This window comes from Homo sapiens, chromosome 2 (assembly GCF_000001405.40).
Source record: "Homo sapiens chromosome 2, GRCh38.p14 Primary Assembly".
Classification (NCBI taxonomy): Eukaryota; Metazoa; Chordata; class Mammalia; order Primates; family Hominidae; genus Homo; species Homo sapiens.
The window spans coordinates 149,147,108-149,162,218 of NC_000002.12; the positions used below are offsets into that span (position 1 = coordinate 149,147,108).

The 15,111-nt window shown below is 41.1% G+C and overlaps 1 protein-coding gene across 29 annotated transcripts in view; it reads left to right on the forward strand.

Moving 5' to 3' along the window:
- The window catches only part of LYPD6B (LY6/PLAUR domain containing 6B), a 176,564-nt gene that overhangs the window by 108,409 nt on the left and 53,044 nt on the right, over nucleotides 1-15,111 (forward strand). For 12 of the 29 annotated variants that reach the window (XM_047443412.1, XM_047443404.1, XM_047443411.1 and 9 more), the window contains one exon: nucleotides 13,657-13,728. The exons of 10 other annotated variants lie outside the window; for them this stretch is intronic. In XM_047443412.1, the coding sequence (XP_047299368.1) occupies nucleotides 13,657-13,728 (72 nt within the window). Of the gene's footprint in view, nucleotides 1-1,634; nucleotides 1,864-6,786; nucleotides 6,958-8,915; nucleotides 9,060-12,113; nucleotides 12,125-13,656; nucleotides 13,729-14,341; nucleotides 14,371-15,111 lie in introns of all 29 variants that reach the window. 7 more of the 29 variants (XM_047443407.1, XM_011510620.3, XM_047443406.1 and 4 more) reach the window with 6 other exon arrangements.

Below are 15,111 nucleotides of genomic sequence, written 5' to 3' on the forward strand. Positions count from 1 at the left end.
CAGATTCTCTTTGAGCCTTGCTTTGCCCAAGGCCCTGATGTCTACTCTGCTTCCAGGAGGCTTGGGGGTAGTTGTGTGGCCTCAAACTCTACGTGTTCAAAAGAAAACAAAAACAAAACAAAAAACGAAGCAGAAATCCATGGTGAAGCAATTTGAGGAGGAAGAGCTATTATCAATCCAACTACTAATTTACCTTTAACTTGTGATAAAGAGGGTAACCCAAGTCATTAATCCAGAGGAGGGTATCTCTGAAGGACAGGCTTTTCTGCCTCTTGAAAAGCTTTGAAAGGAATTTAAATTAATTCTTATCTGATAAGGATTTATTTGTGTATTGTGACTACCTCCAGTCAGATCATACTGTGTGATGCTTTGTTTGAGGGTTTGTTTGTTTTTTTGTTTTTTGTTTGTTTGTTTGTTTGTTTTTGAGATAGGGCCTTGCTCTGTCACACAGGCTGGAGTGCAGTGGCACAGTTTCAGTTCACTGCAGCCTCTACCTTCCAGGTTCAAGTGATTCTCCCCCTGCAGCCTCTGGAGTAGCTGGGATTACAGATGAGCGCCACCACGCCCGGCTAATTTTTGTATTTTTAGTAGAGACAGGGTTTCACCACGTTTGCCAGGCTGGTCTCGAACTCCTGACCACAGGTGATGCACTCATCTTGGCCTCCCAAAGTGCTGGGATTATAGGTGTGAGCCACTGCGCCCAGCCTTGTGTGATGCTTTGGTGTGACTATAAGAAGCTTCAAGATTGAGTAGGGCAGGCTTGGCTGATTGGCTGATTGCAAATTTATGCACATGGGCCTGTGTGTGTGTGTGTGTGTGTGTGTGTGTGTGTGTATAGTCAGAGATGATGGTAGTCATGTGTTCTGAGCTATGGGTAGTTTCCATTCTTCTTCTGTTTTCAGGATATTTCAAGATGGCTGTAGGAACAAGTTTCTCTTGACCCATTTGCCTGTCAATTCAGTACACAATCAGGCAAAGGAAATATCTCTATGCAATATTCCAGTGCCTCCTGTTCTATGGAATGCCCTGCATTTTCCTTTCTGAATTGAGCAGCTGCATGTGAAAATTGATTTAACATGTCAAATCTTGGATATTTCTTCTAAAAGCTTTTAGGTGAACCCTTGCTTAGTAATTCTAAACTGTGTTACATCTTCCCAGGGAAAAGAAATGCAGGACTTCACAGTTGGATTTGGACAAATTGGAGGCTTTTAGGAAAGTCATAAAAGTGATTAAGGGCTGGAGGGAGTGACTGACAAGAGATTAAAGGAGTGAAATTCGGATCTTTGCCAAACTACAGATGTTGGGGGAGCAGAGGGCAAAACACTTAGAAGATCATAAAATGCTGGGGAAGGAAGAGGGGCTGTTTCAAGGCTCTTAACCTCTTTTTGGCTCATGGACCTTTTGCAAATTCATAGTAGCTCTGAACCATCTCCTTAGAGGGATGTCCAGGCTCATACATTTTTGGCCTGTCTCTTTTCTCACTCTAGTTTCCAGACGTGTGGTGTTATCACGTAAGTCAGAAATGGCCAGCCCTTTTGCTTTTTCAGTAGAAGTTAGAAATATAGACTTTAGTGTGAATTTTTCCATTTAAAAAACTGTGCTGGCCAAATTAAACCCCTCTCTGTGCCCTCTAGATTGCCAGTTTGCCTCCTCTTGTTGAGGGCAGTGCTGAGGAAGGCTGGATGCAATGGCTCACAGGTGTGACACGAGTGCTTGGCTGACTGCAAAGAGTAGGATTATGGGACAGTGGACGAACAAGTGTTTTACAGACTTCTACAGCCTGCAGTCTTATTGAGCAAACAGTAGCTGCAACACTGAATCAAATACATACCTGGAAATGATGCTAAGTGCTGTGAAGAGGTGGTGAGTGCTGTGTACGAGGGAGAGTACCCAGGGAACTAACCGAAGCAGAAGGGGGCATGGAAAGACCTCTAAGAAAGCAGCTAACCTGAAACCTGAAGGATACATTGACAAGGGGTGCGGGGAGGAAGAACATTCCAGGCATTTGGAGTTACGCAAGAATGACCAGAGTTCTATTAGGTTGATGAAAAAATAATTGCAGTTTTCACCATTAAAAGTAATGGCAAAACTGCAATTACTTTTGCACCAACCTAATAGAAAGAACTTGAACATTTATGTGTCTTCACATGTTATTTTCTTCATTTACAGGTAAAAACAGAGCCCGAACCAAGAAACTAAGCTCTCTTGAAAGATTTCCAAGAGTTAATTTTGTGTGTGATTTTGTATGCTATTTTTCTTTCATTCATAGTTTATTGAGCATAAATTAGTCTCCTCCTGTACTCAAATCCTACACACACACACACACGCACACCCCTATGTCCTGTCTGCATAGTAATTGCTGGCCCTATTCATCTTAGCTGATTTTTCAAACATTCAACTTAGATTTTTAAAATTACTACTGAATGCAAATCCCTGTAAAAGATACAAAGGAAGTACCTGCCTTTGAGGAATTTATATTCCAAGCGGCCAGGGAAGACTTCTGCACAAGAAACAAGAATGTATCACATGCACCATAACGTGTGTTCCTTGATTAAATTCTTTTCTCACCCTCCCCGACCCTGCTTCATTCCCTGTGTATAACCTCCCCTACTTCTAACTGTAGAAGAACATCTTGAACTTTCCTTCATATCGTCTATCCTCAGAAAGTATCCATGAATCAATCCTTCCCCTTTCTTTATCTCCATGCAACCTCTAAAGGGCATATAATAGAAGCCTTATGATCCACATCCTTTAGTCCTGCTCTGTAGAGACCACCTTCCTTTATTGTTGTAGCTGTTTCTTTTGGTATTGACCTCTGCATTTCTAAATAACATGCGTATACCACTCTTTCTTGTCTTATCAGTTTGGGATGTTATCTATGACCTTTTGTTATATCAAAAGGCTCTAGTTAAATTAGTGGTAACAATTGACATTATTATGATTCTGCAATTTTGCCACTGCTTACCCAACATGTACTGTGATCACCTACTCCCTTCTTGTATATCTTCTCACTGTACCTAGAGGTTATTATTGACTGAGCATATGTAAACCTCATTGCTATAAGCAGCTTGGAGCCCTGAATCTTCTTGCGTTAATGTGGATGGGTTGCTCTGTATGCTTGGTGTGGAGCTGTTGTATTGCTATTTCCCTTTGTGGTGGTTCTTTGTTCTGATATTCTTGTTTTCTGAATCCATCATCCTCTTTCTTTGCTTACTCGTTTGTTTTGCTGGTGCACACCCTCTGATTTCTTCATGTGCATCTTTTAATAGGAAGTCAAATTCTTGATCCTTTGCATATATAAAAGTGTCTTTAATTCTGTATCAGCAAAATTATCTCTCAAGTTTAAGGGTTGAACAAAGAGTGAAATTGTTTGTTTGTTTGTTTGTTTTTAGGATTTTATAGTTACTTTCCATGCTTTTCTATATATGTGGCTGTGGAAAAGTCTGATGTCATTTTGGTTTGTGATCTTTTATTTGTAATTTTTTCCCCTTCTTCTCCAGAAACTTTTAGCATTTTCTCTGGTTCTGAAATTTCACAATAATGTACATGTATTTTTTCATTCATTTTGCTGGGCCTTCTCTCAGCCCTTTCAAACTGGAGACTCATGTACTTTAGTCGTAAAAAATTAAAAATATATATTTATTTGATTATTTCTTTCCTTGTATTTTTCTTCCCTTTGTTTATTTCTAGAACTCATTTGGCTCGTGTACTGATCTTCTGTGCCTTTATCATTTCCCTTCACAAATATTTCTACTTTCTGAAAGATTTCTTTGACTTCATCTTTAACCCTTCTACTGATTTTTTTAAATTTTCTAATAACTTCTTTTTACTTCTAAGAGTCCTACCCTATTCTCATTATTCTTTTTACAAAGAAATATTGCATCTGTAAAACAATAACCCGATGACATTTTTATCTTTTGAGAAAAAAATACAGTTTTTGTATTCCTTATTGTCTCTGAGGTCAATGTATTGTTTGTTATTTTTGGCCCCACTTTTTCACGTGGGAGGTTTGCCTCCAATGTCTGGTGATCCTGGGCTGTCTTTAAGCTGAAAGTTCAGTATGAATGGGTGGGGCTCTCCTGTAGGCGCTGGGTGGTGGGTATATATGGTGTCCTCTGGGGCACTGTAGTTTCTCCGGAGAAGAATTCTCCAGTCTCCTGGAGGAGGGAGGCCGGGTGTGAAGGAGGACACAGGGAGAAGGCCTGTGTTTCTGCAGCTGTTATAGGTGCAGGGTGCTTCAGTATTCAGACTGTGGCTGAATCTCCCAGTTCTCAGTCTCATACTTTATCCACTGCTCCATTTTGCCTGATGCTTTCAAGTCCAGAGAACTCTCCAGTTAAATTTTTCCAAATGAGGAAGCTGTAGTCTTCCGTAGGATCAGTGCCATGCCATATAGGGCTCAGGAGATGCTCTGGAGGTCTAAGTTATTCTGTCTACTTTTTAAAAATCACCTTGTTTTCAACCTAAGATTCACCGCTGCCTTTTTGCCGATGGATGTCCTTAGGTGCCAAACTCCTCAGGGATTCTATAGAACAAGTTAGCTTGCTTCTGGGTGTGTTGTTAGCAAGCTGTTGGAGAATGGAGAAGTGTTGTATTGTTATTTGTACTTTTCTGTATATATTAAGCAATTTGGAAACTCTCCAGGTGATTCTGATGTACATCCCAGCTTGGTTTCTGCGGTGCTGTGTAAATGATCATCTGAAAATGCAGATGAGGCTATATCACACCTCAGCTCCAAAGCCTTCCATGGCTCCCATCTCCTGTAGACTCAATTTCAAATTCCTTATTGTGATATTCCAGATGCTGGCCTCACTTTCTAGCCTTGCCTTCCACTACTCACCATTCTGTGCTTTTTACAGATGCTTTTGGTTCTGTATTTAACTCTTTTCCCTCACTCTCCGACATTTGCTCATCAAAATATTGTTTTTCCTCAAGATCTATTTTAAGTTCTACCTCCTTCATAAAACTCCTCTCTTTTCAAAAGCTTTCTTTTCTGTGCTGCCTACAGAATTTCTTTTATGTTTCTTTTATGATACTTAGAATATTATGGTATAGGTCATTGTTATTCACTTTTATGCTTATCTCATTATCCCCTATCACCAAACGCAGGCTCCTTAAACACAAGGATTGTATTATTCACCTATTCTATATATCTTTTATTGATCAAATATTTATGAGTACATGTCATATGCAAGGCCCTGTGCTAGATCATGGGGTATGTACGTAACTAAAGCAGAGTTCTGTTACCTGGGGTCCTGGTTACCCCAGAAAGGGGCTCTTTCCTATTCATTTTCATGAAGCCAACACACAAAACCAAAAGTGAGTGTCAAGCGCTGCAGGCTTTAGTCAATGGCTATGGAATTGGACAAGTGGGAATGTAGCTCACAAATCAACTTCTTGGTTGCTAAGAACTGGGAAGTTACAGACGTAGGGCATCCTTAATGAAGGGGCTGGGCGTTAAGGACAATGGGAGGCATATTCATGCTTTTTCTTAGAAAGGGATAAAGATTTTCTAGGAATCAAAGAGTTTCCTTTATTTTATCCTCTCTTGGTCTCATGCAGTCATTGCCATGGTAATTGTCAACTGTCTTGGCACTGGTGGGAGTGTCATTCAGTATGGAAATTGGATTATAATGAAGCTAGAGTTTCTTCAGAGGTTGAGTAAGCTGCCTAAGAAGGAACTTCTGACCACAGACATCCTGTTTCCTAAAAATAAGCAGGGTTAAAGCTCAGTAGGAATTTAGCTATGTTGCATAAACATTGCATTGGGCAACAAAAGTGGGGTAGGGGTCCAGCTAAGTCACCTGGGCATTGCAGTGGGTAACAGTTCCATCTATATTCTGCCATGAGGCTTATGGCAAGTGCTCTAAGGAAGCACTAAGTCCCCTAATGGAGCAGTAAGTACCCTAAGGAAGGGGAAAACAAGACTCCCTAATCTGTCAAGCATGCTGTTAAATTTTAAAAGGAGGAATCCAGTGTGGTTGATAAAAGCTGAACAGGGTCTTATAGGTAAGTTGTTTTGAGCTGGGCTTTTCTGTGTAAGATATTAACAAGGCACACGGGTTGAGATAAGGGCTTCTTGAATTAATGAATAAATCCCAGGCAGAGTCCTCTAAGACTTGGAGGCTCTATTTAAGGACAGTCAGTAATCTGTTTTGACCAGGGCTTGGACCAAATGGAGGACGGCAGTGGAAAATAAGCTTGGGAGAGGGATTTGGGACCCATTCTAGTGGACCTGGGTGCTTGGTTGTAAATAGATTGGGTTTTATTTGGTTCAATGCCACTGAAAGCTTGTGGACAGTGTCGTGGGATGGTCAGGATCTGTTTAAGGCAGACATGTGGTATGATCAGTAAAGGAAACTGGGAGAATAGTTAAGAAGAAGTCTTGGCTGGGCGCGGTGGCTCATGCCTGTAATCCCATCACTTTGGGAGGCCGAGGCGGGCGAATCACGAGATCAGGAGATTGAGACCATCCTGGCCAACATCATGAAACACGGTCTCTACTAAAATACAAAAAATTAGCCAGGCATGATGGTGCGTTCCTGTAGCTCCAGCTACTCGGGAGGCTGAAGCAGGGGAATCACTTGAACCCAGGAGGCGGAGATTGCAGTGAGCCGAGATCGTGCCACTGCACTCCAGCCTGGCAACAGAGTGAGACTCTGTCTCAAAAGAAAAAAAAAAAAGAAGAAGTCTTTACCTGGTCCAAGACAGGTGATCCAAGCTGGGGCCAGGGTGATCGTGACGGCAGGCATGGAAAAGAGAGGACAGACATGATAACTTTTGCAGGGCACAGCTGATGCACTTGTCCTTCATTACTGTGGATTATGGAATTTATTGGCATTGGGGAGCAACAAGGTGAGAGCCCTTGAAGATGACTCAAGAATTCAGCCTGGCTCCTGACTAGGAGGATGGTGATTCTAATAATGAAGAGAATGGGGAAGAAGATGGAGTTTTGTGGTAAAGATGATGTCTTCTCATTTTGAATATTATAGTGGATTTGTATTTCCCCCATCCCCCCACCCCCCAAAAAAATCCAAGTTCCAACCCCTAGTACCTTTGCAGATGTAATTAAGAATCTCAGGATGAGCTCATCCTGGATTGAATGTGGACTCTAGGTCCAATGACTGTTATCCTTATAAGAGAAAGGAAGGAACACACAGACACAAGGGGAAGGGCATGTGAAGAAAAGGCAGAGATTGGAGTTATGCAGCCAAAGCATGGCAATGATTGCTAGAACTACCAGAAACTAGGAGGAGAGAGGGCTGGAACACACCTTCCTCAGAGCCTCCAGAGTGAACCAACCCTGCCAGCATCTTTGACTATGGCCTTCTGGCCCTTCAGAAATGTGAGAATCGATTTATGTTGTTTTAAGCCACCATTTTTTTTTGTAATTTATTATAGCAGACCTAGGAAACTAATTCAGATTATGTTCAGATTTAAACATACAGCACAAGAATTTACCAACCAGCTCCATCCTAAACTTTTGTTATTTTATGTGATCCACTGAAAAGATAGATATTCATTGAGAATATCCTGTTGCTGATGTTGGCAACATTTGGTGATGGGGATGGGGTGGGGTGGGGTGGTGTGGGGAGAGTGGCGGAGTGGTGTTATTGAAAAATGAGACAGGTACAGTAGATTTGCTTCCCTACAGGAAAAACTATTTCAAAAGCAAGAAGCAATCAGTAATTGAGCATTCACTGAGTTTCTATTTTGTGTCCAATGCTATATGCTAGGGACCGAAAGAGATACAAGATAATATGATTCCATATGGACTCGCGAAATACTCACAATCCAATAATTGAAACAAAACCATTTAGTAAAGCTAATACATAACCAATTGATAAGGGAAGTAAGGAATATTGAACTGCATATGGAAGCTTTGTTTCTTTTTTATTAATTGGATACTTGAATTTTTTAAAAAATTTACCATCGAGTTTGAGATTCTGTTACAAAGTCACTCAGTGTCAAGGGTATGTTCCTTGATCCCTTAAAGTAAAATTACCTCTTTGCTTGAGGCATGATGCATGCTGAATTACCACAAGAGCCCTGGAACTTACAGGCTGAGAAATCATCCTTTTGCTTCTCCCTTCCTTGCTAGGAAAATGCTCTGCAGCCCGCAGAATCAGCAGCAGGCAGAAGCACAATCACCCTCTGGTTATGGGAACTGAAAGCATTCATGGACTGTCTTATCTAAATGGTTTGACAAGTTCTCTATTCACCTGGCCAATTGCATCAGGCCCTCTCCTTTTCCTTCCACTGCTGAAACTTGGCAGGTGCAAGTGTCAGTATTGCCCTGCGGCTGGAATGTGCCCTGGACAAGAACTCCCAGCCCATCACTGCAGCCTGGAGAGAACCAAGGGCCTTGTTTGCTGCCCCAGGGAGTGCTGCAGGGCATTACTTCTAATAGCAAAGGAAATTTCATATTCATTTGTGGATACTTCTGGGCAAAGCTGCACTCAGCTTGTATTGGCTTTGTCCGGAGGCTGGTGAGCAAGACCAGGGAGTCTAATGGATCTGGAACATGAGGACAGGCTAAGTGATCCCTCATTCTACCACTGTCACTTGTGACTTGCCTCCCAACAGTCCATTTTATTTTGCTCTCCCTCTGAATACACTGCAATCCCCTTTGAGCCACAGGATTGGGAGTCAGGCCTAATGCCTGCCTATGCTATAGGTCAAACATTGTCTGTGGAGGCTGTAGAAATTAAACTATGGTGTTCATGCCTCTCAGCACTAACAAAGGACATCAATCACTTCTCCTGTGTGAACTCTTCCAGTGAAGGAAAAAGCGATTATTTATGAATCAAGCCTTGAGGCAACTGGAAGTCTTTTTGTTGCTGGTAATCTCTTACTCTGGACTTGCTTCTGTAATGTGCAAGGATTTTTACCCCTACTCTTCCTTTTCTTTTCAGAAAGAGAGGAAATTGTGATTGGTTAAGGCATCTGAGCCAGCCTGGGTGTCAAGTAAGAGAAATGAGGACATGATTTCTGGAAACAGCATCCCAAAGATGCTGTTTGCAGTGGAACCTCTAGTCAGCACAGAGCATTTGAGAAGGGTGCAGAATGGTGTCATGCTATGGTGATCAGAGGGCATGGGGAAGGCAGTGGTCTCCTGTTTCAGAGTCGGGATCTTCAGGAAGTTTATGAGGTGTTCCTGTTTGTGACTTTCTTTGGATTTAGAGATTACCCTGCTTGGGGATAAGGGAATGAATGACAGTGAGGTCCTTGAGTAGGTCACAGAGTGTCCCCGTGACCTTTCCAGACTTTTCCCTGGGAATCCTGGCAATCCTGGAGGGGAAAGATTAAGGGGAGGTGTCTTAGCTCAGCCTTCCATAACAAAGCACCACAGATGATGTGGCTTAAACAAGAGAAATTTGTTTTCTCACACTTCTGGAGGCTGGAAGTTCAAAATCAAGGTGTCAGCAAGGTTGGGTCTTTCTGAGGCCTGTCTGCATAGCCTGTGGATGGTCTTCTCCCTGTGTCTTCCTATTTTCTTCCATCTGTATGTACGTGTCCCGATTTCTTCTTATAAGGTCACCAGTCACCTATTGGATTGGATTAGGGCCTACCCATATGACCTCATTTTAAATTAATTACCTCTTAAGACTCTCCAGATACATCACATTCTGAGGTACTAGGGATTAGGACCTCAACATATGAATCTGGTGTGGTGTGGTTGGGGTACACAGTTCAGCCCACAACAGAAGGGAATTGTCATTCTACAAATTCAAGTTCAATTTCATAACTGATAAAACTTGATTGCCTTATTGGGGTTCTTACCTTTGAGAATTGGATTCAGGCTAATGGGACTATTTTAGGGGAAGTGGGGGTGTGGTTGTACATCAGAAAGGCCTGAATTAACTTAATCACACTTGGAGGGTAGGAATGGTATTCACAGTTAAAAGTTTAGCTCTCAAATTTTGCGTCTCATCTATCCAGAATGTGTATTACTGATGTCCTGAGATGGGGTAAGTAATTACTTCGGACAGAGAGCTGAGTGCCTTTTTCATTCTGAGGGCTCCTGATTAGGCTAGCTTGAGATCCTTTGTATTAGCATCCTAGTTTCAGCCTGTCGGGGGCCGGCTTCTGCAGCCTATGGGAATGTCTCCTGTTTTAGAGGCAAAGGACTGCTTACTTATATACTAAAAAGAACAATCTTAACAGTATTCATTTTGTCTTTAAAAAAAAACCTATTGCTCTAGAAGTCAGTCTAAAAACACACAGGAGGAACTCAAGACTTAATTCTCTATAGTTTTCTACAAGAGCTTTTGTTGTTTAAATGACATGTTCCCAACTAACTGAACACAAAAGTAGTGAATGAACTTCAACTCAGCCAAGTGCTAACAATCTGCGATGACAGCAGATCCTCCCAGCTGAGACGTTTATGCTGAACAAAGTGGCCTGAATCCTTTATGGCTATTGATTTTGCTTGCAATTCCCTTGCCAGTGTGCAAAAATGGTTGTTTTTTGTTGACTTTCTCTGGACATCTTTTGATGACTCACACTGTGCCAGCTTTGTGAACTCGGGTGTGCATTGACATGCCTGCTTCATGCCATCTGCTCTTCCATACACGTTGAAGGTGAAGACCAGCAGTGGAGCCTCTCCCCTTTTCTTTCAACTATTAGATTCTCTTGCTGAGAGCTGTGTTCTTCTGAGGACCTATGTTTGCACACGGAAGCCTGGTTACCTTATTTATATACCCTAGAAATGAAAAACTTTTGGGTGATATTTTACCTGCGGGGATAGAAACCGATGCTTCAGGTTACTGCAGTATCTGACTTCTTGACATCAGCTTTTTGACAGAAGCTCATTATCACTGGGTCGGGGGTCAGGAATGACACATTCTAAGCTTTAGCCACATGGTATGAAGAGTTACACGTAGCAGGGGATATTGTAGTCTCGCTTCAGCTTTAAATATGAAGAACATTAATTAAGATTGGGGTGGGGAGATTTACCAAACCCTTAGGGAAGAAAAACTATTTAACAGACTTTTGTTTTCTTGCTGCTACTACTGATTCTGAAACTAGGATTTGTATAATTAACTGGTTTCTTGTGGAGTAACTCTTCTACCTCTTACATATGGTTCTTAAGAATGTAGCTAATATTTTAAAAAGACTTTTCACACCGTAAGTACTCTATAATTACTCGGTGAATTAACTATATAAAAATTGATTCCAGGGTAAACAAAATGTGGTATATACTTACAATGGAATATTATTCAGCCATAAAAAGGAATGATATTCTGATACATACTACCACATGGATGAAACTTGAAAACAATGTGTTAAGTAAAATAAGCCAGACACAAGAAAGGATAAATATTGTATGATTCCATTTATATGACGTACCTAGAATAGTCAAACTCAAAGAGACAGAAGGTAGAATAGAGGTTACCAGGGGCTGAGGGTAGAGGAAATGGGGAATTAGCATTTAAAGGGTACAAAGTTTCTGTTTCAGACGACAAAAAAGTTATGGGAATGGATCATGGTGATGGTTATACAACACTGTGAATGTACTGAATGCCACTGAATTAGACACTTTAAAAATGGTTAAAATGATAAACTTTTCATTATGCTCGTTTTACCATAATAAAAAAGTTTTAAAATATTGATTCCAATGCAGAAAGCATATTTGAGACTTATACACATACAAACATATAAAATTTAAACTTTGTATTCCTTAGACATATATTACTTGAGCTTAAAAACCTGCCTGAGGGCAGTTTTTCTATGGATTTCCTACTAATCAGCAATAGAGAAAACTTCTACTCCAGGCTGTTGCCAGGACTGTAGTCTCAGACAGTTGTAGCCCAATTCCTACCCAACTTTTTATTGGAAGAAATAATAACATTTATGGGAAATAACTCAAAGGATATGGAGTTCATTAGTTTTTCCAGAAATTCTAACTTTTATCCCTGGATCAGGCCAGATAATCAGATTTTTATGTTTTTTTTTCCTTGCCAGATCACTTTAGTGTGTTGTACTTTGGTGTCGTATTTCATGTTGTGGGATGCAGTAAGAAGACATTATAGGAGACTCCCTACTGTGTATACTTAGAGACATTGTTAATTAATTACTCTCCTCTTCCTCCCCAAATGTGGATGATAAAGGATCCTTTGAGGTAGGGAAGGTTAACACCTTGGAAGAAATTTCTCAATGACACAAAGCTAACACTCTTGAGGAGTATGTGTATGGTATTTTATATTTTGTTCAATGTGACCATAGTGTGTCTATTTTCTTCTTTGCTTTGGCTACTAGCATGCTCAGAGCCTAATTTTTGAACCACATCAAGTAATAATTACCTTACAACATACATTTCTGTGGACTTTTTCTCATGTTCTTACAGCCTCTTTTTATGTTGTCTTCTCTACATAGTATATATGTTTTGTAAATGAACTCATTCTTTTTTGAAATTAGATGGCATACTAGTACTAATTAGGGTTCTTCAGAGAACCCTGCCCGAGAGAGCATATGTGTGCGTGTGTGTGTGTGTGTGTGTGTGTGTGTGTGTGTGTATAGAAAGAGAGAGAGAGTAGGGGCAAGGGGATTTATTTTAAGGAATTTTCTCATACAATTGTGGGGCTTGGCAAGTATGAGATTCATAGGGCAGGCTACCAGGTTGGAGATCCAAGGAAGAGTTATTGTTGCAATCTTGAGTCCAAAGAGAGGCTGGAGGCAAAATTTCTTCTTGGGGGACCTCAGTCTTTTTTCTTAAAGCCTCGACTGATCAAATAAGGCTCACTCACATTATGAAAGGTAATTTGCTTTATTCAAAAGCTACTGATTTAAATGCTAATCACATATAAAAAATACCTTCTTGGCATGGACTGATGTCTGACCAAACAGCGGGCCACCATAGCCTAGCCAAGTTGATGTATAAAATTAGCTATCACATTAGTCAGGTGTGGTGGTACATGCCTGAAGTCCCAACTACTCAAGAGGCTAAGATGGGAGGATCGCTTGAGCCCAAGAATTTGAGACTACAGTGAGCTATGATCATACCATTGTATTCTAGCCTGGGCCAGAGTGAGATCCCATCTCTTACCAAAAAAAAAGGTATAAATATATAATAGAATTTTCTTAAAATTGGGCATAATTTTTGTCTTTTATATTTGCTCATTTGAATGCATATAGGGAAACATTCCAGTTCCCTCCCACCTCCTCATCTGGGTTCAAGACTCATGTTGTCATTATTTCATCAGCTGGTAGGGCTGTCTTCCAAACCAGGTTAAATGGCACAGAGTCTTCATTGTGGATGTGTTGAATGTGTGAATGCTACGGCCTGCCAAATACCCTGATATATGCCAGTGTTGTAGAGAGTTCTGCCAGCTCTTTGGTAAGCAGCCATTTTTGTGGAGGGATGTGATGAGGTGTATGATTTCACCAATTATTACCATTCTTAATTAGATGGGGCCCAGGTGTGTGTTAATAAAACGCTAGCTCACACTCTCTGTAATGTTAATGGCCCCACCTTGACTTGATTCCAGGGATTTCATGCATTTGATATTGTTCAATTGACTGTATTGCTGTTCTATTCTGAAACATCTCCAAACATCCAGAAACCTGCCTTTTGTTAGAAAACATTCCAGTTGTTCAAGAACGTTACTCATCGTCAGCAGTGGCTCTTTCCTTATCTTTTTTTATCTCTGGTAGGCTGATTACTCTGAGTGCAAACCTTTTCACTGTTCCAGAGAGGAGCCTGACAACCACATTCTCCTTCTCAAGGTAAGAATGGCAGCTGTTACAACAGCCCTCGGCTTTTCATTTGGGAGCTCTGGTTAAGTTGTTGGGAATGGACTCCTGAAAGTCCCGGGACCCTGTGTTTTTCCCATCTCCTTGGCAGTTTGCCAGGTTTCCCATCCTAAGCCCTCACTGCTCACTGTGATCCTGCGGTTTGGAAGCCTGGCTTGTGCTTAAGTTACAATTCTGGTGAACCAAAAAGGGGAGTCCCCATGCTCAGCGAATGGTTGGTAGATCAAAGACTTCTCTGCTTACCACAGAAGCTAATTTGGTCAATTGAAAGAGAACTTCCTCAGAGTAATCTTCTCAGTGACAGATGGGGGTGCGTCGGGGGTGTGGAGCAATGTTCAAAAGTGTCTGCATTAAGTGAAATACATTGCCGAATACACTTAGAACATGTGTGCACTAATTATTGAGCATTTGTAGTTACAGAATCTTTGCATGTTAAGCCTTAGAAAATATTTACTGATCTAAAACAGGACGAGAGTGTTACCCCAACAAAGAAGAGAGACAGCATAGATGGACGTGGGCACATTGAAAGTTATGTGTTTAATTGATGATTGCTTTTTACTTGATGCATTTTGTCTTTTGGTTTTAGGTGTGGTGCTTACTGCGCAGGCTGACCAGGTTAGTGTGTCAGGCCTGATTCCATTTTTTTAGGTGAAGACATCAAATCAGAGGTTTGGTTTTTCTGAGGGCAGGTGGCAAATGCCAAGGAATGCCTGTGTGAGGCTTCGGGGACTGGGCCTGGTTGTCTCATGGTCTTCTTCTTGGCTATCAAGGCTATCAACTACCAGCCCAGAGGCCTTCTGCCTGTCAAACAGGCCTCCCACTTTGCATCTGATGGCTGGAAGAGAGGGAGGAAACATGCAAAGGAAATTGCTTAAGATTATGAGCTGATCTGGCCAGGGCCATGTTTATGTTCCTGTTTCTTGCCTAAAGAGCAGATTGAATTATTAGCACCTGTGTTTGTTAATGATAATTATATGTTTCAAGTACAAAGCAGAATTCTGTAAAATATCTACTAAGATGCCTTTCTAAATGGATAACATTTTATGACCCTAATAAGGCCCAAGACAACAAGCAGGAATTTATATATTATCATCACTCTTTTCCCCGGGGCATATTGGGTGGAATGTGAGCTGTAACTTCAACTTAAGAATCTGCTAGTAAGAAACCCAGAGGACTTGAGGATCAGAGGAATGACGGTCTAGTCATAAGACATATGGGAACATTGGGTCATTTTCCAAAGCAAGGAAACGTAATTCATTGTTAGTAACAGTGTTAAACAGTGTCAGGATCATCATCATCATGATCACCGTGGTGATAAAATGTAACTCTATTATTAACCATCTCTATCACCACCAT